Source organism: Homo sapiens, chromosome 1 (assembly GCF_000001405.40).
Source record: "Homo sapiens chromosome 1, GRCh38.p14 Primary Assembly".
Lineage (NCBI taxonomy): Eukaryota > Metazoa > Chordata > Mammalia > Primates > Hominidae > Homo > Homo sapiens.
The window spans coordinates 155439758-155462000 of record NC_000001.11 but is presented as its reverse complement, the minus strand read 5'-3'; the positions used below and the strand labels follow the sequence as shown (position 1 = coordinate 155462000).

At 40.0% G+C, this 22243-nt stretch overlaps 1 protein-coding gene across 16 annotated transcripts in view; it reads left to right on the top strand.

Annotated features, from left to right (window-relative positions):
* Window positions 1-22243, top strand: part of ASH1L (ASH1 like histone lysine methyltransferase) — a 227935-nt gene that overhangs the window by 101202 nt on the left and 104490 nt on the right. For 12 of the 16 annotated variants that reach the window (XM_047425248.1, XM_017001785.2, XM_006711450.4 and 9 more), the window contains one exon: window positions 2103-2204. In XM_047425248.1, coding sequence (XP_047281204.1) covers window positions 2103-2204 — 102 coding nt within the window. Of the gene's footprint in view, window positions 1-2102; window positions 2205-21407; window positions 21512-22243 lie in introns of those variants that run through there. The other 4 variants (XM_005245337.6, XM_011509769.4, XM_011509770.4 and 1 more) reach the window with 4 other exon arrangements.

Sequence of the window (22243 nt, the reverse complement as noted above, 5' to 3'; positions counted from 1 at the left end):
TGATGGAACCCCGTCTCTACTAAAAATACAAAAAATTAGCTGGGCATGGTGGCCCATGCCTGTAATCCCAGCTACTCAGGAGGCTGAGGCAAGAGAAACACTTGAACCCGGGAGGCAGAGGTTTCAGTGAGCCAAGATTGCACCACTGCTCTCCAGCCTGGGAGACAGAGTCCGTCTCCCAAAAAAAAAAAAAAAAAACCCTCAAACCCCTCTTTTCTTAGTACTTAATCCATGATCAGGAATGGTGATACAGTTGACTATTATCTCAGGCTTCTTGGCCACTATTGTCTTCTGTCTTGACTATGTGTTGGGTAGGAAATATGTATCTGTCTGTATATTAAGTTTTCAGTATTAATACTTAAAGTTATGTCTTCTCTGATGCCTGGGCTTTTTATTTCTTAGATGTTTCATTGCGACATTCAGTTATTTAATGGAAATATCTCATCTGAACCACACTCGAGGAGGATTTATTATACTGTCAGATATAAAAATCCATCTTGTATCTGTTGTTAAGATTCAACAATAAACAATCTTGCTGCTTGAATAGGTCTACATCAGTCATCATTGTGTTTCAGAAGTAGGATGTACTATCACATCAATTTTCTAAAAAAAAATTTAACGTGTTACTCTTGAATGACAGCATATAGTCTTACATCTCACCTGAGCAGTGCTTCCCATAGCCTGCTAAAAGACTATTTACAGCAATGTGATTTAAGATACTACTTAATTGAAACAAGGCTCATGGTCTATTTCTCTTAGAGAAAAGGAAACAGCAACTTAGCTCCATTCAGTTCTTCTGACCCTAAGTTTTCTTAGAGAATTAATCACATCTTCTTTTAGGAGTGAACTTTCATTTAGAGGCAGATCTTGAAAATCTTCAACTTTTTGATTTATTGTACCTTTTGCGGCTCCAGTTACATGTAAGTTTTTTTATTTGTAATTTTTTCCCATCAATAAGCATTTCAGATTACTAGTTTTTTGACAAACATGAGGTAGACATTCATTACCAACTCTTAATAGCTGGCATTTTAGATTATAAAGAATCCAATATAAGAATCAAGTATATTTTATTCAGGAAAATAATCTTACATCAACAACATACTTTTCTTTTGAGCGGGAGATGTAATATGCTCTATAGATTTGCGGTTTTGCTAAAAGCATGAAAGTTTTTGAAAGGAAATTGAGTTTCTTTGTCTTCATAAGCTTTTATGTATATAGCCAAGGATCCTTAAGTGTACAGCTTTAAAAGAAACTTACTGTATTTCATGGATAAATTAATTACCAGTTTTTCTAGAATTTGCAAAAGGAAGAAAAACATAGAATCTGAAAATAATTTCTGTGAATTGGATAGGATGTGTGGGTTTAAGGTTTGAGGCTTTACTTTCTTTTTTTTGAGATGGAGTCTTGCTCTGTTGCCCAGGCTGCAGTGCAATGGCGCAATCTCGGCTCACTGCAACCTCTGCCTCCCAGGTTCAAGCGATTCTCCTGCCTCAGCCTCTCGAGTAGCTGGGATTACAGGCATGTGCCACCATGCCTGGCTAATTTTTGTATTCTTAGTAGAGGCAGGGTTTCACCATGTTGGCCAGGCTGGTCTCAAACTCTTGACCTTGTGATCCACCCGCCTCGGCCTCCCAAAGTACTGGGATTACAGGCGTGAGCCACTGCGCTGGGCCCTCACATCAACTTTTTAATAAATTACATTGTAAATTTTGTCAGTTTATATGATGAATTTTAATCAATAATCCAGAACAGATTTGGTTAAAATATTGTTAGTAATTTGTATCAATATTTTAAATAATGTTTTAGGCTAGTAACACATGAAAACTAAATCATATCTTGTTTATTCTTCCATTAAAATTAGTTTTTCCTCTGGTAATGTAACAGGAGAACTTATGTATATAAGATCTGTGAAATTCTGACAACAACATATAGTGTGATTTGTCCTCTGCTTATTTTCCTCCTAATATCAGGTTACAAGTCATGTTATTACAGGGGATGACAGTGGCAGCAACTAAACTGTAACAAGTTCTAACAAAAGATGGTTTCACATTATTTTTAAAGTTGAATTTTCCTATGATTTCTATCTTTTTCTCTTTCTCCAGGCTCCCAGCCAACCTCTGATAAACCCTCCCAGCGGCCATCAGAGAGCACAAATTGTAGCCCTACCCGGAAAAGGTCTTCATCTGAGAGTACTTCTTCAACAGGCTAGTGCTATTTGTTTTACCAGATTTTCAAGATAGTTTCCCATTTGTTATTTGTGAATAAGGAGTTACAATATTGTAGAAAAAATAATGGGGACTGTATCATATATGGTATTTTATTTTTCCATTCAAAGGAGTTGAAACAATAGACTTGGTATTTGAGAATCAGTAATGTACATTGAAACAATATAGTAGTCTTCCCCTTTACAAAGCTGAATTAAAGTAAAAGTGTGTGTTGGGAATAATAGGGGAATGTGGATTGTAGCTGTTTAATAAAGATTTAGATACATATAAAATTGCTTAAGGCCAGGCGCTGTGGCTTACGCCTATAATCCCAGCACTTTGGGAGGCTGAGGTGGGTGGATCACCTGAGATCAGGAGTTCGAGACCACCCTGTTCAACATGGTGAAACCCCATCTGTACTAAAAATACAAAAACTAGCCAGGCATGGTGGCGTGCACCTGTAATCCCAGCTACTTGGGAGGCTGAGGCAGGAGAATCTCTTGAACCTGGGAGGCGGAGGTTGCAGTGAGCGGAGATCACTCCACTGCTTTCCAGCCTGGGTGACAGAGTGAGACTCTGTCTGAAAAAAAAAAAAATTGTTTAGTAAACTAGTAATTTCCAAAGTAGCATTCAGAAATCTCTAGGGATATGCAAAATAATTAAGAGTTCATGAGGAGAACCTCTATTAATAGTTATTTTTAAACTTCTTAATTGCTAATGTTTATATATTTACAACCTGTTAATACATACAACATATTTGTATAATTTATACAGAAATTTAGGGTATGCTTCCAATTTTCTTTTTATGGATAGTTTGTGTGTTTACCAAAAAAAAAAAAAAAAAGAGAGAGGATGATTTATACCTGTTTTCTGCCTTTTCCTGATGGTTGAAGAGTAAGAAATAATTTTTTTAATGTATTAATTTTACTGAGAGAGATGGAGAGTGATAGATTAATTCCAGATAGTGAGGAATATATTAAAGAGAATTTAGAGTGTTCAGGAAAATAAATAAAAAAGCCAGTGTGGTCAGACTAAAGACGGTTGGTTGGTTGGTTGGTTGGTTGGTTGGTTGGTTGGTTTTGAGATGAGTCCCACTCTGTTGCCCAGGCTGGAGTACAGTGGTGCAATCTCGGCTCACTGCAACCACTGACTCCTGGGTTCAAGTGATTCTCTTGCCTCAGCCTCCTGAGTAGCTGGAATTACAGGTGCCCACCATGATACCCGGCTAATATTTTTGTATTTTTAGTAGAGACTAAAATTCGCCATGTTGGCCAGGCTGGTCTCGAACTCCTGACCTCAGATGATCTGCCGGCCTCAGCCTCCAAAAGTGCTGGGATTACAGGCATGAGCCACCGCACCCAGCCAAAGATGGTTTTTTAATATGAGGCTGGAAACGTAGTAGAGAATTAGTGATGTAGAGCCTTAAACACAGTTGGAAGTTGTGGAAACGTAAACAAGGAAGTGACATTATCTCCTGCCTTTCTATCTCTAGGTCTTTGAAGAAGTAGAAGGCCTTTCAAATTGTATCAATATGGTATTTGTTGAATTTAGTTGATGATTATCTTTAGAAGCTCTTTGTTAGTCCAGTTGTCTGCTTGGCAGCAAGTGATAGTTGTATCTCTCTTGGTGCTTTGTTTTTATACTACCATGGAGAGACTTTTGTACTCTAACAAGAAGTGACTTAATTTCTCTGATGTTTACCTAGACCAGGGTAAGGAAACTCAGCCTATGGGCCAAATGCAGTCCAAGGCCTGTTTTTGTGTAGCCCTCAAGCTAAGAATTATTTTTAGGTTTTTAAAGGCTTGGGGAGAAAAGATGAAGTATAATATGAGGTAAGCATTATATATGTCCTCAAAAGCCTAAAATATTTACTCTCTGGCCTTTTACAGAAAAAGTTCACCAACCCCTGAACAAATGAATGAGATTTTGATAAGGGACATATCAATGTTGAAAATCACCAAAATATTTTACTTTTGTAAACAAAAGAAAGAATATCTAAATTCATAATGTTTCTTTTGCAATGAGACTATTCTGTTCATTGAATTAGATTTCTGTTGAGGGTTGCTGTGAGTAGTGAGCACTGGGAATACAAATACGAGTAAGATTGAGTTACTGCCCTCAATAATTCAGACATATTCACTGAAAAGCAATGTATTAAATTCTGTAACAGAGCAGTGTACAAAATGCTATGACACAGAGAAATTCAAGCACTAACCACTTGAAATGACTGAAGAAGATATCACTGAATAAGTCACGCACACTACTGTATATTGAATTTACTTAAGTAGGCAAGTGGGACAACATAAAGGGTAATAATGTAGCACAGTAACAACAGCACTTTCGAAGAAAGGCACAAAACCATGAAATAGCATAGTGTTTTTGAAGAATAACCCATTGTTGGATATGACTAATGTACATAAGTGGTGGTGATGGTGGTTGGAAAAGGAGGTTGTAAAAGCAATAATGGGGACTATATCATATATGGTATGTTTTTTTCATTCAGAGGAGTTGGAACTTCATTGTACATGCAATTGGGAGCTACTGAACAATTTCTAACAAGGAAGATAAATTATTTGATATGCTCTATCAGTAAGAATAGGATAGGTCTTGGAGTGTTAAAAAATGATCCCCAAATCTCAGAGGCTTAAAACAACAAAGGCTTATTTTTTGTTCATGCTGTGTGACCATCAAGAGTCCACTCCATGTTGCCTTCCCTCTAGGACCCCGGCTAACAGAGAACCTGTACCTTGAATGTTGCTTGTCTTCTGGCGGAGGGGAAAGGGCCATAGTAAAGCACTAAGTGGCTATTAAAATTTCTGCATTAAATGTTACTTCTCAGTTTCAGTGCCAAAGCAAGTCATGTGGTTAAGTCTTGTGTCAATGGGACTAGAAAGTATAATCCTTTTGGCGGTGGGGGGTGGATAGCAAATATTTGTAAGTAATATTATAGTCTATCATATGTGTATGTTAAAAAATGCTATAACATTACAATATGAAGAATGGAGTGTGACAAATGCATGCAGACAGAGTAGATAAGGGCTTCAGATTTGGATATATTAAATTTGGACTGTCTTTGGCCTATTTAGGTAGAGATATTGAATAGACCGTTAGAAGCAGTGGTTTATACTTTTAGAGACATCTGTGGTAGAGATCTACCAGTATATATATGAACTTGAATTTGGCAGTGAAAGAGATCATCCAGGGAGAATGTGTTAAGTGAGGTGATGGGGACGGAGACCTAAGAAACTCGAGCATTTTGGAGGGAAGTGGAAGAAAAGATGTTTAGTGAAGGACACTTAAATAAGAAACATCAAACTGTATATGTCACAGAAGCCTAAACAAGACTTCAGAATGGAATAGATTAGTCAACATTAGATGTCACAAAGAGATCAAGAAGAGTTCGATCAGAAAGTGTCAAATGATTGAGAAAATAAGAAAAAATAGTCTGAGAATGTGAAAGTTTGGAGCTTGAAAGAGGGAAAGGAGACTTAAAATTCAGGTGGCATTGAAATAAATTAGAGCTCTTTATTTCCAGCAATGTGGTAGATTAGGTGTGCAGAGCAAGCAAACACCTTGTTATCTAAAACCTGAAAATACATGGACAACATTTCTTACAGTATGACTGAACTTTGAAGTAACTAAATAGGAAACCAGAAACTTCAGAAAGTTCAATTCAACAGAGATAAAGAGCATTAGAGCTGCTTGACATCTGCTTGATCCCTGGTGGCTGGGAGTCTGGTAATTGGAACACATCCAGCTGGAAGAGACAAAAGACAGAGCCTAGGACTCTAGTAGAACAAAAAACCACATATGCATAAAGTTGGAACCCCCAAAAGGTGACACTTAACAATGTACGGGAAAATAGAAATAAACCTATCATAGAAAAGGACAGTTTCTTGTTTTAGTTTTGGCTTTGGAAGGAGGAAGAAAAAGGAGTTCCTGACCACAAGCTCTTACTAATTCTCTGCCTCTCCTACAGATTTATATTGTTTGTCAGACCCAGAAAAAAGTTAAAATAAAATTTGTCATAGGTTTGTAATGTTCCCAGTTGCATTGCAGAGCCAAATGCAAATACTCTAGAGAATTGCCATTAAATATAAACCTGAGCTTTCAAAATCACTGTATTCACAATTTTGGTTGACCTAGCTTTCTCATATATTGTAGCAACACAGGGAATGACAGCCTTTATTTTGCAATTTAAAGGCAAAGAAATAAACCAGAATCATGTCCTAACCTTCTAGGTATAGTCAAAGGAATACCATACCTCTAGAAACCATCTGTTTAGTAAACTGAGGTATGTAAACAACTGTAGAAACAAAAAGCAATTTGTATTTTGGATAAGATGCCTCAAGGCCCATCCTTGAACTAAATTCCTGTTTTTGAGATAAATCCAAAGGGATAATATACTAACAGTATATGATTTTACTGAAATCTGTAGTCTTTATTATGCATATCAGGAACCCATAGTAACAAAATTATTATTGATGAGTACAATCTAAGCCTTTTCTGGAGGTTTTTAATATCTTATTAGGTCTTTAGGATGTAATATGAGGATAACTATTTTCATTTCTGAAATGAGTATTTGCAAATACTCTGTTAAAGTTTACATCTCTCTTAGAGGTCTTTTTTTAAATATTTGTAGCTTTTAAGATATTTATGTCTCTTTGCTCATTTCTCAGGTATTTGACATAACTGAAGATTTTTATAATTAGGACACAAATCCATGGTAATTTTCACATTCTAGAGAACATAAATCCCTTCAATAGTGTTTCACAGAATCATTTCGTCTTTTTATAGCTGGTTTACAAATATTGTTACATTGATGAGAGAGGTAGTTCTTTTATAATTTTATTACTGAGCAACTATTATATTCAGGCTACCAAATTCAACTACTATTTTAAGCCAAAAGACTATAAGAGACATTCCATAATACCAAGGAACTTATGTTAAGATCAATTTATCTTGAGAGCAACAATAAAATATGCTAGTGATTTTACATAAATTTATTTATTTATTTATTTATTATTTTTGACAGAGTCTCGCTCTTGTCACCCAGGCTGGAGTGCAGTGTCACGATCTCAGCTCACTGCAACCTCCACCTCCCAGGTTCATGCGATTCTCCTGCCTCAGCCTCTCTTGTAGCTGGGATTATAGGCATGTGCCACCACGCCTGGCTAATTTTTGTATTTTTACTAGAGATGGGGTTTCACCATGTTGGCCAGGCTGGTCTCGAACTCCTGACCTCAAGTAATCAGCCCACCTCGGCCTCCGAAAGTGCTGGGATTACAGGCCTGAGCCACCACTCCTGACCTGTATAGTATTATTCTACACATAACCGAATGCTGAAATGATGGAAAGTTAATCAGAAAATGCTTCCATAATCTTTGTATTGAGGTTTAAAAGACATCATACATATGCCATGACTGAAGAGGTAAGTGGGAGAAGAGGAGAAGGCATTTTGATGTAATGGGAAAACTATGTACTTTTGACTTAGATCTAGTTGATTCACATTTAGCAATATCATGTAACCTTGTGGAAGTTACATAAACCATTCAACCCATGGCTTTCTTATCTGTAACATGAGGCTACTACTTCTATTTATCTTGCAGACTAGTGGGAATTAGAGTAAGTGGATAAGAAATTCTTATCACTGAATTAGTTTTTGAGTAAATGGTAACTTCTCTTATTTTTTGAGATGGAGTCTTGCTCCGTCGCTCAGGCTGGAGTGCAGTGGTGCGATCTCGGCTCACTGCAAGCTCCGCCTCCCAGGTTCATGCCATTCTCCTGCCTCAGCTTCCCGAGTAGCTGGGACTACGGGCGCCTGCCACCACGCCCCGCTAATTTCTTTTTGTATTTTTAGTAGAGACGGGGTTTCACCGTGTTAGCCAGGATGGTCTGGATCTCCTGACCTCGTGATCTGCCCGCCTCAGCCTCCCAAAGTGCTGGGATTACAGGCGTGAGCCACTGTGCCCGGCCTTTTTGTTTTTTCTTTTTTTTTGACACGCAGTCTCCCTCTGTTGCCCAGGCTAGAGTGCAATGGTGCAATCTCGGCTTACTGAAGCCTCTGCCTCCCGGGTTCAAGTGATTCTGCTACCTCAGCCTCCCGAGTAGCTGGGACTGCAGATGTGCACCACCACACCAGCTAATTTTTATATTTTTAGTAGAGATGGGGTTTCACTATGTTGGCCAGGCTGGTTTTGAACTCCTGACCTCAGGTGATCCACCTGCCTTGGCTTCCCAAAGTGCTGAGATTAGAGGCGTGAGCCACTGCACCCAGCCATAAATGGTAACTTCTGTTGTTACTGTTGCTACCGTTGGCCCTCCTGCCATTATTATGACGGTATGGAATGAGAATTAGGTCATATACAAGGGAGACGGAGTATAGTGGTAAAGCATAAAAAAAGATTGCAAAGGCGTTTAGCCACATTTTTTTCTTTTTTATGGGATGGAGTCTTGCTCTGTCACCCAGACTGGAGTGCAGTTGCATGATCATGGCTCACTGCAGCCTTTGCCTCCCGGGTTCAAGTGATTCTCCTGACTCAACCTCCACAGTAGCTGGGACTATAGGTGTGTGCTACCACGCCTGGCTAAGTTTTGTATTTTTAGTAGGGACAGGGTTTTGCCATGTTAGCCAGGCTGATCTTGAACTCCTAACCACAGATGATCTGCCTGCCTCGGCCCCCCAAAGTGCTGGGATTTCAGGCCTGAGCCACTGTGCCTGGCCTGTTTAGCCACATGTGATGAGTAGTCTTAAATCTTTGCTGGCTACTAGGCCCTCCTTGCATAGAGTGAAACTCCAAAAAAATGGCCTAAGAAAAACTAGGGAGTTGTATATGAAAAATTCCTAAGGTTTACATGTGGCATGAGACATTTGAACTCTGACTACCAACTGTAGAGTCCTTGGGGACAATTATGAAGGCCCCCATAAAGATTACATCTTGGTCAGACGTGGTGGCTCACACCTGTTATCCCAGCACATTGGGAGACCAAGGCGGGTAGATCACTTGAGGCCAGGAGTTCGAGGGCAGCCTGGCCAACATGGCAAAACCCCATTTCTACTAAAAACACATATAAATTAGCCAGACATGGTCACGCACACCTGTAGTCCCAGCTACTTGGGAGGCTGAGGCAGGAGAATTGCTTGAACCCAGGAGGCAGAGGTTGTAAACCCAAGATTACACCACTGCACTCCAGCCTGGGCAACAGAGCAAGACCCTGTCTCAAAAAGGAAAAAAAAAAAAAAAAGGTTACACCTTAGCAGGGCTAAAGTATCTCTGGAATGAAGATTACACTAGACCCTAGTAATGATTTAAAACAGGATTCAAGGAATCAAACTGTCAAACTGTTCTACAAATAACTGATTTTTAAAACAAAGTTCAACATTTAAAAACATTTTAATTGTGAAAAAACAAAAATTTTTTTTAATTGTGGCAAAATACAGACAATATAAAATTTACCGGCAGGACGCAGTCGGTCACGCCTGTAATCCCAGCACTTTGGGCGGCCGAGGTGGGCAGATCACCTGAGGTCCGGAGTTGGAGACCAGCCTGGCCAACATGGCAAAACCCCGTCTCTACTAAAAATACAAAAACTAGCCAGGTATGATGGCGGGCGCCTGTAATCCCAGCTACTCGGGAGGCTGAGGCACGAGAATCGCTTGAACCCAGGAGGTGGAGGTTGCAGTGAGCCAAGATCATGCCACTGCATTCTAGCCTGGGTGACAGAGTGAGACTGTCTCAAAAAAAAAAAAAAAATTACCATCTTAACCATTTCTAAAGCCGTGTGCAATGGCTCACGTCTGTAATCCCAGCACTTTGGGAGGCTGAGGCAGGCGGATCACCTGAGGTCAGGAGTTCAAGACTAGTCTGGCCAACATGGTGAGACCCCATCTCTACTAAAAATATAAAAATTAGCCGGCCATGGTGACACATGCCTGTAGTCCCAGCTACTCAGGAGGCTGAGGCAAGAGAATCGTATGAACTTGGAGGCGGAGGCTGCCGTGAGCTGAGATCACACCAGTGCACTCCAGCCTAGGAGATGGAGCTAGACTCCCCATTTCTTTTCTTTTCTTTTTTTTTTTCAGAGTCTCGCTCCTGTCGCCCAGGCTGGATTCCAAGTACAAGCGATTCTCCTGCCTCAGCCTCCAAGTAACTGGGATTACAGGTGTCCACCACCACGCCAGCCAATTTTTGTATTTTTAGTAGAGATGGGGTTTTGCCATGCTGGCCAGGCTGGTCTTGAACTCCTGACCTCAGGTGATCCGCTGGCCTTGGCCTCCCAAAGTGCTGTGATTACGGGCGTGAGCCACCGCGCCTGCCTAGACTCCCCATTTCTAAGTGTACAGTTAATTCACTAGTGTTAAGTACATTTACATTATTGTGCAACCAATCTCCGTAACTTTTTTCATCTTGCAAAACTGAAACTCTGTATCCATTAAATAAGAACTTCATATTCCCCTGTCCCTTCAGTCCCTGGCAATCACCCACTAAAGTGGAACCATACGGTGTTTGTTTTTTTGTGACTGGCTTACTTAACTTAGAGCATAAGTTCCTCAGGGTTTATTTTTTATTTATTTTTATTTCTTTTTTTTTTTTTTTTTGAGGTGGAGTTTTGCTCTTGGTGCCCAGGCTGCAGTGCAATGGAGAGATCTCAGCTCACTGCAACCTCTACCTCCTGGGTTCATGTGATTCTCCCGCCTTAGCCTCCCGAGTAGCTGGGATTACAGGCATGTGCCACCATGCCAAGCTAATTTTGTATTTTTAGTAGAGATAGGGTTTCTTCATGCTGGTCAGGCTGGTCTCAGACTCCTGACCTCAGGTGATTCGACCGCCTTAGCCTCCCAAAGTGCTGGGATTACAGGTGTGAGCCACTGCACCCAGACAGGGTTTATCCATTTTTTAGCATGTGTCAGAATTGCCTTCCCTTTTAAGGCTGAATAATATTCCTTTGTATGTTTTACCACATTTTGTTTATTGTTATTTGTTTATAAATGGTTACTTGGGTTGCTACCAACCTTGGCCATTTGTGAATAATACTGCTATGAGCAATGGTGAACAGATACCTCTTCCAGACCCTGCTTTCAGTTCTTTCTGGTATATACCCAGAAGTGGAATTCCTCGATTATATGGTAATTCCATTTTTAATTTTTTGATGGATTGTCCTACTGTTTTCCACAATGGTGTGCCATTTTACATTCCCATCAACAGTGTACAAATGTTCCAGTTTTTTCAACTTCAACATTTTTTAAAGGAAGACAACAAAATCCAAACACTTAATAGTTATCCAAAATGAAGTACAGAGTGGAATAAAAGATTGACCAAAAAAATGAATGAAACTTTAGTGACCTGTGGTACAATATCAAGAGGGCTAATATACATGGGATAGAGTCTCATAAAGAACAAATTGGGAATAGCAGTTGAAGAAATAATGTTTAATATTTCTTTCACACTTTCATTAAAACTATATCCCACAGATCGATGAAACTCTACGAATCCCACGTAGGATAAACACACTGACAGCATACATAGACATATTAAAGGACATTATTACCAAATTTCTGGAAAACGATTGTAAAGAGAAAATCTTAAAATTAACCAGCAGAAAGAAAATTAAAAACACATACATACAAACACATACAGAGGAACACAGTAACAACTATCAGCAGACATATTGTCAGAAATTTTACAAGCCAAAACACAATGGAATGATGTCTTTAAATGTGGAAAGGAAAAATAACATCTGTCAACTTAAAATTTTTTAACCAGCAAAAATATCTTTCAAAAATGGAGGCAAGATAAACATTATCAGAAAAAGAAAAGTTTAAAGAATTTGTTGCCAGTAGACCTACAGTAGCAGAAACACTAAAGGACGTTCTTCAGATAGAAAGAAAACATAGTAGGTAGAAACATGGATCTACCAAAGGAGTAAAGAGTGCCAGAAATTGTCAACCAATGGGAAAATATAAAACACATTTTTCTCGGCTGGGCGCAGTGGCTCACGCCTGTAATCCCAGCACTTTGGGAAGCTGAGACGGGCAGATCATGAGGTCAGGAGATCGAGATCATCCTGGCTAACATGGTGAAACCCCATCTCTACCAAAAATACAAAAAAGTAGCCAGGCATGGTGGCGGGCGCCTGTAGTCCCAGCTACTCAGGAGGCTGAGGTAGGAGAATGGCGTGAACCTGGGAGGCAGAGCTGGCAGTGAGCCGAGATCGTGCCACTGCACTGCAGCCTGGGTGATAGAGCGAGACTCTGTCTCAAAAAAAAAAAAAAACAACCACATTTTTCTCATATTCTTTTGAAGTGCGTGTGGAATTATACCAAGATACCATCCTATTCTGGGTAATCAAATGTCTTGATACGTTTTAAAAGATTAAACTCATGCAGAATATATTTTCAGACCACAACAGAATTAAATTAGAATTCAGTAACACAAGTTATGAAATTCTCTAAATATGTGGAAATTAAATAACACACTTCTAAATAATTCATAAGTAAAAGATGAATCCCCAAAAATGAAATCAGAAAATACTTTGAAATGAATAAAAATGAAAGACACATAGGGCCGGGCGTGGTGGCTCACGCCTGTAATCCCAGCACTTTGGGAGGCCAAGGCGAGTGGATCATGAGGTCAAGAGATCGAGACCATCCTGGCCAACATGGTGAAACCCTATCTCTGCTAAAAATACAAAAAAATTAGCTGGGCGTGGTGGCACATGCCTGTAGTCCCGGCTGCTTGGGAGGCTGAGGCAGGAGAATCACTTGACCTCGGGAGGTGGAGGTTGCAGTGAGACGAGATCGTGCTACTGCACTCCAGCCTGGCAACAAAGCGAGACTCCGTTTAAAAAAAAAAACACACACACACATAGAAATTTGTGGGATAATCTAAGAATATTTATAGCTGAGATTATTAAACACCAAAGATCTATCTAAGTCAGTTCTCACCTTTAGGAAGCTGAAAAAAGAAGAGCAAGTAAAACCTGCATTAGAAAGAAGATAGTGGGCTGGGCGCAGTTGCTCACGCCTGTAATCCCAGCACTTTGGGAGGCCGAGGCGGGCAGATGACCAGGTCAGGAGTTTGAGACCAGCCTGACCAACATGGTGAAACCCAGTCTCTACTAAAAAAATACAAAAATTAGCTGGGCGTGGTCACGCGCACCTGTAATCCCAGCTACTTAGGAGTCTGAGGCAGGAGAATTGCTTGAACTGGGAGGCAGAGGTTGCAGTGAGCTGAGATCGCACCATTGCACTCCAGCCTGGGTGACGGAGCAAGTCTCCGTCTCAAAAAAGAAGAAAGTGAAAGTTGGGTGGTGTGGCACCCCTGTGCCTGAAGTCTTAGCTACCTGCGTGACTGAGGCAGGGAAAAGACTACTTAAGCCAAGGAGGTTGAGGCTAGTCTGAGCACCTTGGCAAGACCCATCTCAATACAACAACAACAACAACAACAACAAAACGAAAAGAAAAATAAAAATTAACCCAGAATAGCCAAAGCTATTTCTAAGCTGAAAGGGAGAAATAACTTTACCTGACTTCAGTTATGCTACAGAGCTATGATAACCAAAACAGCATGGTACTAGCATAAAAATAGACACATAGACCAGTGGAACAGGAGAGAGAACCCAGAAACAAATCCACACACCTACAGTGAACTTATTTTTGACAAAGGTCCCAAGAGCATAAAGTCTCTTCAATAAATAGTGCTGGGAATACTGGATATTCATATGCAAAAGAAAAACTTGACCCCTGTCTCTCAGCACATACAAAAACTGAAATCAAAATGGATGAAAGGCTTAAATCTAAGATCTCAAAAGTATGAAACTACTATAAGAGAACATTGGGAAAACTCTCCCGGATATTGATCTGAACAAAAATTTATGAGCAATACCCCACAGGCACAGGCAGCCAAACAAATATGGATAAATGTGATCAAATCAAGTAAAAAAGCTTCTGCACAGCAAAGTATACAATCAATAAAGTGAAGAGACAACCCACAGAATGGGAGAAAATATTTGCAAACTACACATCTGACAAAGTGTTCATAACCAGAATATGTAAATTCAAACCACTCTATAGGTAAAAGTCTAATAATCTGTTTAAAAAATGGACAAAAGACTGAAGAGATATTTCTCAAAAGAAGATGCTACAAATGGCAACAGGCATAGGTATTCAACATCATTGATTATCAGAGGAATGCAAATCAAAACTACAATGAGATATCATCTCACCCCAGGTAAAATGGTTTATACCCAAAAGACAGGCAGTAACAAGGCTGAGTGTGGTGGTTCACTCCTGTAATCCTGTCACTTTGGGAGCCTGAGGCATGCGGATTGCCTGAGCTCAGGAGTTCGAGACCAGCCTTGAGCAACACATGAAACCCCGTCTCTACCAAAAATATAAAAATTAGCCAGTCTCATAACCCAGTCTCAAATCAATTAATAAATTAATATTTTTTAAGAAAAACAATACATGAGAAAAATCACCTAATTGTCTAAGTAGATTAAGGGAACATATTTGACAAAATTTGACATCCATTCATGGTTTTTAAAAAAAAGCTCTTAGAAAATAAGACTAGAATAGTATTTGCTCAACCCATTACAGGGTGTTTGCAGAAAAACCTACAGCTAACCTAACACTTAATGTTGAAAGACTGAAAGCTTCCTCCCTAAGATTGGGGAAAAGGTATAGATGTCCACTACTTCTATTCAGCATTATAGGGAAGTCTTAATGTCTTATTCAGAAATAATACAATTTGCAGAAAATTCCCAAGGAATTTGTTAAAAAGTTGCTGGAACTTAATAAATGAGTTTAACAGTACAATTTCTGTGTGTTTAAGCTCAACATATAGAAATAATTGTATTTCTACATACAGTGAACAATTAGAAACTGAAATGTAGCGCCGGGCGCGGTGGCTCACGCCTGTAATCCCAGCACTTTGAGAGGCCGAAGCGGGCGGATCACGAGGTCAGGATCACGATGAAACCCCGTCTCTACTAAAAATACAAAAAAAATTAGCCGGGCGCGGTGGCGGGCGCCTGAAGTCCCAGCTGCTGGGGAGGCTGAGGCAGGAGAATGGTGTGAACCCAGGAGGCGGAGCTTGCAGTGAGCCGAGATCGCGCCACTGCAGTCCAGCCTAGGCGACAGAGCGAGACTCCGTCTCAAAAAAAAAAAAAGAAAAAAAAAAAAAAGAAACTGAAATGTAGCCAGGCATGGTGGCTCACACCTGTAATACCAGCACTTTGGGAGACAGAAGTGTGTGGATCGCTTGAGCCCAGAAGTTCCAGACCAGTCTAGGCAACATGGTGAAACCCCATCTCTGCAAAAATTACAAAAATTAGCCGGGCGTGGTGCCGCACACCTGTAGTCTCAGCTACTCGGGAGGCTGAGACATGAGAATTGCTTGAACCCGGGAGGTGGAGGTTGCAGTGAACCAAGATCATGCCACTGCACTCCAGCTTGGATGAGAGCAAGACCTTGTCTCAAAAAAAAAAAAAAAAAATTTAATTAATTAATTGAAATATAAATAATACTATTTACAGTTGTATTAAAAGCCATTAAAGTCTTAACGATAAATTTAGAAAAACATGTACGGGATCTGTATAATAAAAAGTACAGTGGCCGGGTGCGGTGGCTCACGCCTGTAATCCCAGCAGTTTGGGAGGCCGAGGCAGATGGATCATTTGAGGTCAGGAGTTCGAGACCAGCCTGGCCAACATGGTGAAACCCCGTCTCTACTAAAAATACCAAAAAAAAAAAAAAAAAAAGTACAGTGTAGGCCCAGTGGTTCATGCCTGTAGTCCTAGCAACATGGGGGAATGAGGCAGGAAGATCATTTGGGGCCAGGAGATTCAGACCAGTGTGGGTAACAGTGAGACCTTGTCCCTTAGGGAAAAAATAAAAAATAAAAAATGTACACACACACAAACACACACACACACAATCTATGTACTCACTAAAATTAAAATTAAATCACAAAAAATTAAAAAAATACAAAGTCTTTTTGAGAAAAATTGAAGAATAAGTGGGAGAGATATGTCAGAGGCATTTTTGAAAGACTCATTATTGTTGAGATGTCACCTTTCTCCAGATCACTCTGTAGAGTCAGTGGACTCAATACAGTTGCAACAGGATTTTAATATAAACTGGCAGACTGATTCTAAAATTTACATAGAGGCCAGCCGTGGTGGCTCACACATAATCGCAGCACTTTCGGAGGCCACTGCAGGAAGATCACTTGAGCCCAGAAGTTAAAGACCAGCCTGGGCGACAGACACTTCGTGGCTTATTTTTTTTTAATTATTAAAAATGAAATTTAGACCAGGTGTAGTGGCTCACCCCTGTAATCTCAGCACTTTGGAATGCTGAGGTGGGCAGATCACCTGAGGTCAGGAGTTCGAGACCAGCCTGGCCAACATGGCAAAACCCCATCTCTACTAAAAATACAAAACATTAGCTGGGCATGGTGGTGGGTGCATGTAATCCCAGCTACTCGGGAGGCTGAGGCAGGAGAATTGCTTGAACCTGGGAGGTGGAGGTTGCAGTGAGCAGTGATCACGCTATTGCACTCCAGCCTGGGCAACAAGAGTGAAACTCCGCTAACTTTCAATTGATTTTTGACAAATGTGACTATTTCAATGGGACAAGGATAGTCTTTTCAACAAATGGTGCTGTAACTACTGGATATCCTTATGGAATAAAAAGATCACTGACCCTGTTTCATACCACATGAAAAATTTAAATCAAAAAAGATCATATACCCCTATGAAATTTCGGAAATAATAAAACTTTTAGAAGAATAGGAAAAAATCTTTAAGACCTTGGGGGATGGTCAAAGATTTCTTAAATAGTATAAAAAGCAAGGACCATTTAAAAAAATTTGACTTGGCCGGGCGCGGTGGCTCACGCCTGTAATCCCAGCACTTTGGGAGGCCGAGGCGGGCGGATCACGAGGTCAAGAGATCGAGACCATCCCGGCTAAAACGGTGAAACCCCGTCTCTACTAAAAATACAAAAAAATTAGCCGGGCGTAGTGGCAGGCACCTGTAATCTCAGCTCCTCAGGAGGCTGAGGCACAGGAATCCCGTGAACCCCGGGAGGTGGAGGTTGCAGTGAGCCAAGATTGCACCACTGTACTCCGGCCTGGGTGATAAAGCGAGACTTCATCTCAGAAAACAAACAAACAGAAAACATTATTTAAGAAAATGAAAATGTAAGCCAAAAAATAAAAGAACCCAATAAAAATAATCGGCAAAAGATCTGAATAGAATTTTCTCAAAAGAATGCATATGAATTGCCAATAAGCTCATGAAAATATGCTCAACATCAGGGAAATGCAAATTAAATTTATAAATGAGAACACACCCATTAGAATGATTAAAATGTAAAAGACTGCATAATACCAAGTCTTGGTGAGGATGTATAGGATCTTTAACTCAGTCATTGATGATGGGACTATAAAATAGAACAATCACTTTGTAAAAATTTCTTAAACATACAATTAGTTGATTTAGTAATTCTAGGCAGGTTGCAGTGGCTCACACCTGTAATCCCAGGACTTTGGGAGGCCAAGGCAGGTGGATCATTTGAGGTCAGGAATTCGAGACCAGCCTGGCCAACATGGTGAAATTCTATCTCTACTAAAAACAAAAATTAGCCAGGCATGGTGGCAGGTGCCTGTAGTCCCAGCTACTCGGGAGGCTGAGGCAGGAGAATCACTTGAACCCGGGAGGCAGAGGTTGCAGTGAGCCAAGATCACGCCACTGCCCTCCAGCCTGAGTGACAGAGCGAGACTCCGTCGCAAAAAAAAAAAAAAAAAAAAAAGATTTAGTAATTCCAGTCTTAGGTATTCACCCAAGAGAAATGAAAATATGTTTAAACAAAATGTCATGTGCACACATGTTCATAGGATATTTTTTCTTTATGACTAAAAACTGGAAACAACGCAGATTTCCAGGTGAATATGTAAAGAAATTGTGGTATATTCATATAATTCAGTTGTAAAAAGAAATATGTGAATAGTAAAAAGGAACAGTAAAAAGAAATGTGGCAATGTGAATGATTCTCAGATTTATGCTGTGTGAATGAAGCCGTACAATAAAATACATATTCTTTCTTTTCATGTATATGAACTTCTAGAAAAGCAAACTTAATATATAACAGGAAGCAGATCAGTTGTTTCTTCTCTGAGGCTGTGGATGACAGGCAATTTATTTTCTTGGAAAGGACACACAGTAACTTTTTAGGGTGACAGAAATGTTCTATATATTGGTTATGATGATGGCTACATGGTAAATTTTTCAAAACTCAAAAATGTATATATAAAAAACATGCATTGAATTTTATGTGGTACTTTACCACAGTGAAGTTAATTTTGAAAATAAGTTACATCTAAAATATAGTGTGCAGCATCATGTCCTAGACTACCAAGAAACATAAATTGGCAGGCCAGAATTTGTGAAGATAGGAACAATTCAAAAATGAAGTGTGAGGTATTAATAGCTCTAGGTGAATGGCCCAGGAAGGAGGCTTCAAAAGTGTGTACCCATTTTAGGATTCTCTTTTAAACTGATATTCATGGATTAAATGCATTGGTAGCTCTGAGTAGTTGATGAAGGGATAGAGGAGATAAAAATAATTCCAAGATTTTGATCCCAGGATTCATTCTTCAACTACGTGTTAATGAATTATGTCCTGGTCATTGGAGATAAAAAGTGATTTTGGTGAATATAGTCACCGCGTTAATGGACCAAACATTGTTTGAGAATTACATACATTAAACCACTAATTTGAAGTGTGATTAGTGTTAGGAAAGGAGAAAGTATTAGGATAATTCTTAATAGGGGACCTAAATTAAGAATGAAGAGGGTGCTTCCTGGTCAGGTAAATAACCTTTCAGGAAATTATGTCCTCACTGTAAACTAAAGAATGAATAGTCATTAAGCAGATGAATTTGTGGAGAAAGATTGTTCCAGGTAGAGAGAAAGGCAGACTCAAAGGCCTTGAATCAAGAAAAAACATGATGAGTTTAAGGAACTGAAGTTTATTATTACTAGAATTAGGGTCTAAGATAATATGAGATTGATGCTAGAAGAAAAGGTAATAATAATTTTGAAGTTGTTTTATGTGGTAAGAGCCTTTTTAAGAGTTGTAAGCAGAAGCTGAAACCTGATAAAATTTGTGAGGTTTTTTTTTTTTGATTTTTTTTTTTTTTTTTTTTGAGATGGAGTCTTGCTCTTGTCGCCCAGGCTGGAGGGCAGTGGCGTGATCTCGGCTCACTGCAACCTCTGCCTCCCAGGTTCAAGCAATTCTCCTGCCTCAGCCTCACAAGTAGCTGGGATTAAAGGCGCCTGCGACCACACCCGGCTAATTTTTGTATTTTTAGTAGAGACGGGGCTTCACCATGTTGGCCAGGCTGGTTTCAAACTCCTGACCTGATCCGCCCACCTCAGCCTCCCAAAGTGCTGGGATTACAGGCGTAAGCCACCTTGCCGGGCCTTTGTGTTTTTTTTTTAAAGATCACTCAGGCTGCTGTCTAAAGAATGAGTTGGAGGATGGTGAAAGTAGAAGCAGGAAGAACAATGTTTCAGTTGTCCATTGCTGCATAACAAAGCACCTTGAACTTACTGTCATGAAACAGTAATAATCAGTTATCATCTCACAGTTTCTCAGGATTCCCTTCCTTTGGTTGTAACTACATGGTGGTGAGGTAAAGTCATCTCAAAATATTCCTTGTTTGGTCAGGCAGGCGGCTCATACCTATAATCCCAACACTTTGGGAAGCTGAGGTGGTCAGATCATTTGAGCTCAGGAGTTTGAGACCAGCCTAGGCAACATGGCAAAACTCCATCTCTACAAAAAATACAAAAAAGTAGCTGGGCATGTTGGTGCATGCCTGTAGTCCCAGCTACTCAGGAGGCTGAGGTGGGAGGGTCGCTTGAGCCTGGGAGGTGGCGGTTGCGGTGAGCTGAGATTGTGCCACTGCACTCCAACCTGGTTAACATAGTGAGACCCTGTCTCCAAAAAAAAAAAAAAAAAGGCCAGGCGCAGTGGCTCACACCTGTAATTCCAGCACTTTGGGAGGCCGAGGCGGGCAGATCATGAGGTCAGGAGATCAAGACCATCCTGGCTAACATGGTGAAACCCCGTCTCTACTAAAAAATACAAAAATAAATTAGCCAGGTGTGATGCTGGGCGTCTGTAGTCCCAGCTGCTCAGGAGGCTGAGGCAGGAGAATGCTGTGAACCCAGGAGGTGGAGCTTGCAGTGAGCCAAGTTCATGCCACTGCACTCCAGCCTGGGTGACAGAGCAAGACTCCGTCTCAAAAAAAAAAAAAAAAAAAAAAAAAAGGATTCTTTATTCAAATATCTGGTGGTTGATACTGGTTGTTGGCTGTGACCTCAGCAGGATCTGTTGGCCAGTATGCCAACTCATTGCTTGGGCTTCCTTGCAGCTTGGAAGCTTGAATCCAAGGGCTTGTGGCGGGGCCGGGGTGGGAGTGGGGGGTGGAGATAGAGAGAGAGACAGACCTTTTCTAACCTAACATTGGAAATCATCACATTCTTCTATTGAATTTCTTTGCTAAGGCAAGTCTTCAGTGGCAGCAGAGAGGGACTAGACTACAACTTGATAGGGAAACTTCAAGAGATTAATGTACGTATTTTAATAGCCCCACAAGGAATTACACTATTGCTTCAGGGCAGGGAGATAACATTATCTTAGTCTTGATGGCTGTAGTAGAAGAAAGGAAAGTGGACAGGTTCAAGAGTTTAAACTAACAGAAGACAGAATTTTATGATTTGTGGGGAGGGTGAAGGAGCCAGAATAAATGATGTGGCCTGAGCTTAGATAACCAACGTCCTGCCACACGATGGATGGTCAGTATACATAATGTTAGCTTTATGGTATCATTCACTGATGTAGGGAATCTGGATGGAGGAGCTAGTTTGAAGGGAGCGAAAATGAAATGAGATGTGAATATGAGTTTGAGAAATCTGTGAAACATGCAAAAGTAGACAATTAGAAGAAAGGTCTATTCAGAAAATAGAAATTCAGTAGTCATCAGAATATAGATGATAGTTAAAAGAATTGCTAAAGAGAGAATAGAGAGTCAGACAGGAAAAAAGCTCAGGCTAGAAAGTTTTTAAAAACTATAGCATTTAAAGGTTGGAGAAAAGGAAGGGGTCATTTTTCGTTTTGGTAATTTTCAGATAAAACTGAAGATTGGTATGAATATTTAGAAGTCACTTACATACTGATGATAATTGAGACTATGAGAATAAACATGTTCCCAGTGGGAAAGTAAGTATAAAAGGTAAATAACAAGTACTCTGTATTGAGGACCTCCGCAGTTAAATTTAATGGAGTTGCAAGTAATTGAAAGTTAATCAAAGGATATTATAGAAATAGTGTAGGCAGGATTTTAAAGAATTATGAAATCAAATATAGCTGAGAGTTTGAAATTTTTTCCTTTTTTTAAATTTTATTATTTTTCTAGAGACAGGGTCTTGCTCTGTCATCCAGGCTGGAATGCAGTGGCGTGATCATAGCTCACTGCAGCCTCAAACTCCATGGCTCAAACAATCCACCCGCCTCAGCCTCCTGAGTAGATAGGACTACGGGTACAGGAAACCACACTGGGCTAATTTTTATTTTTTGTTGAGACAGGGTCTCAGTACGTTGCCCAGGCTAGTCTCGAACTCCTGGCATCAAGTGATCCTTCCACCTCGGCCTCCCAAAATGCTGAGAGTACCAGTGTGAGCCACCGTTCCTGGCCTGAAAATGTTTAAATATCAAATTGAGACAAGGGTCTATAGGCCAGAGTTGATGATAAAATAAAAAAAAAAGTCTTAAAAATTTAGACAAGGCTATTGGATATTATTTGAAGAAAGTTATTGGTAATTTGAGAAAAATTCCACAGTCTGATGATATTGGAATCTAGAATGCCTGAGGCTAATAAAGGAATATCTAGTATAGTTATCACATTTAAAAGTCATATAGATAAGAAATCCATTAATTAACTTTGGAGAAGTATGACCCATGAATA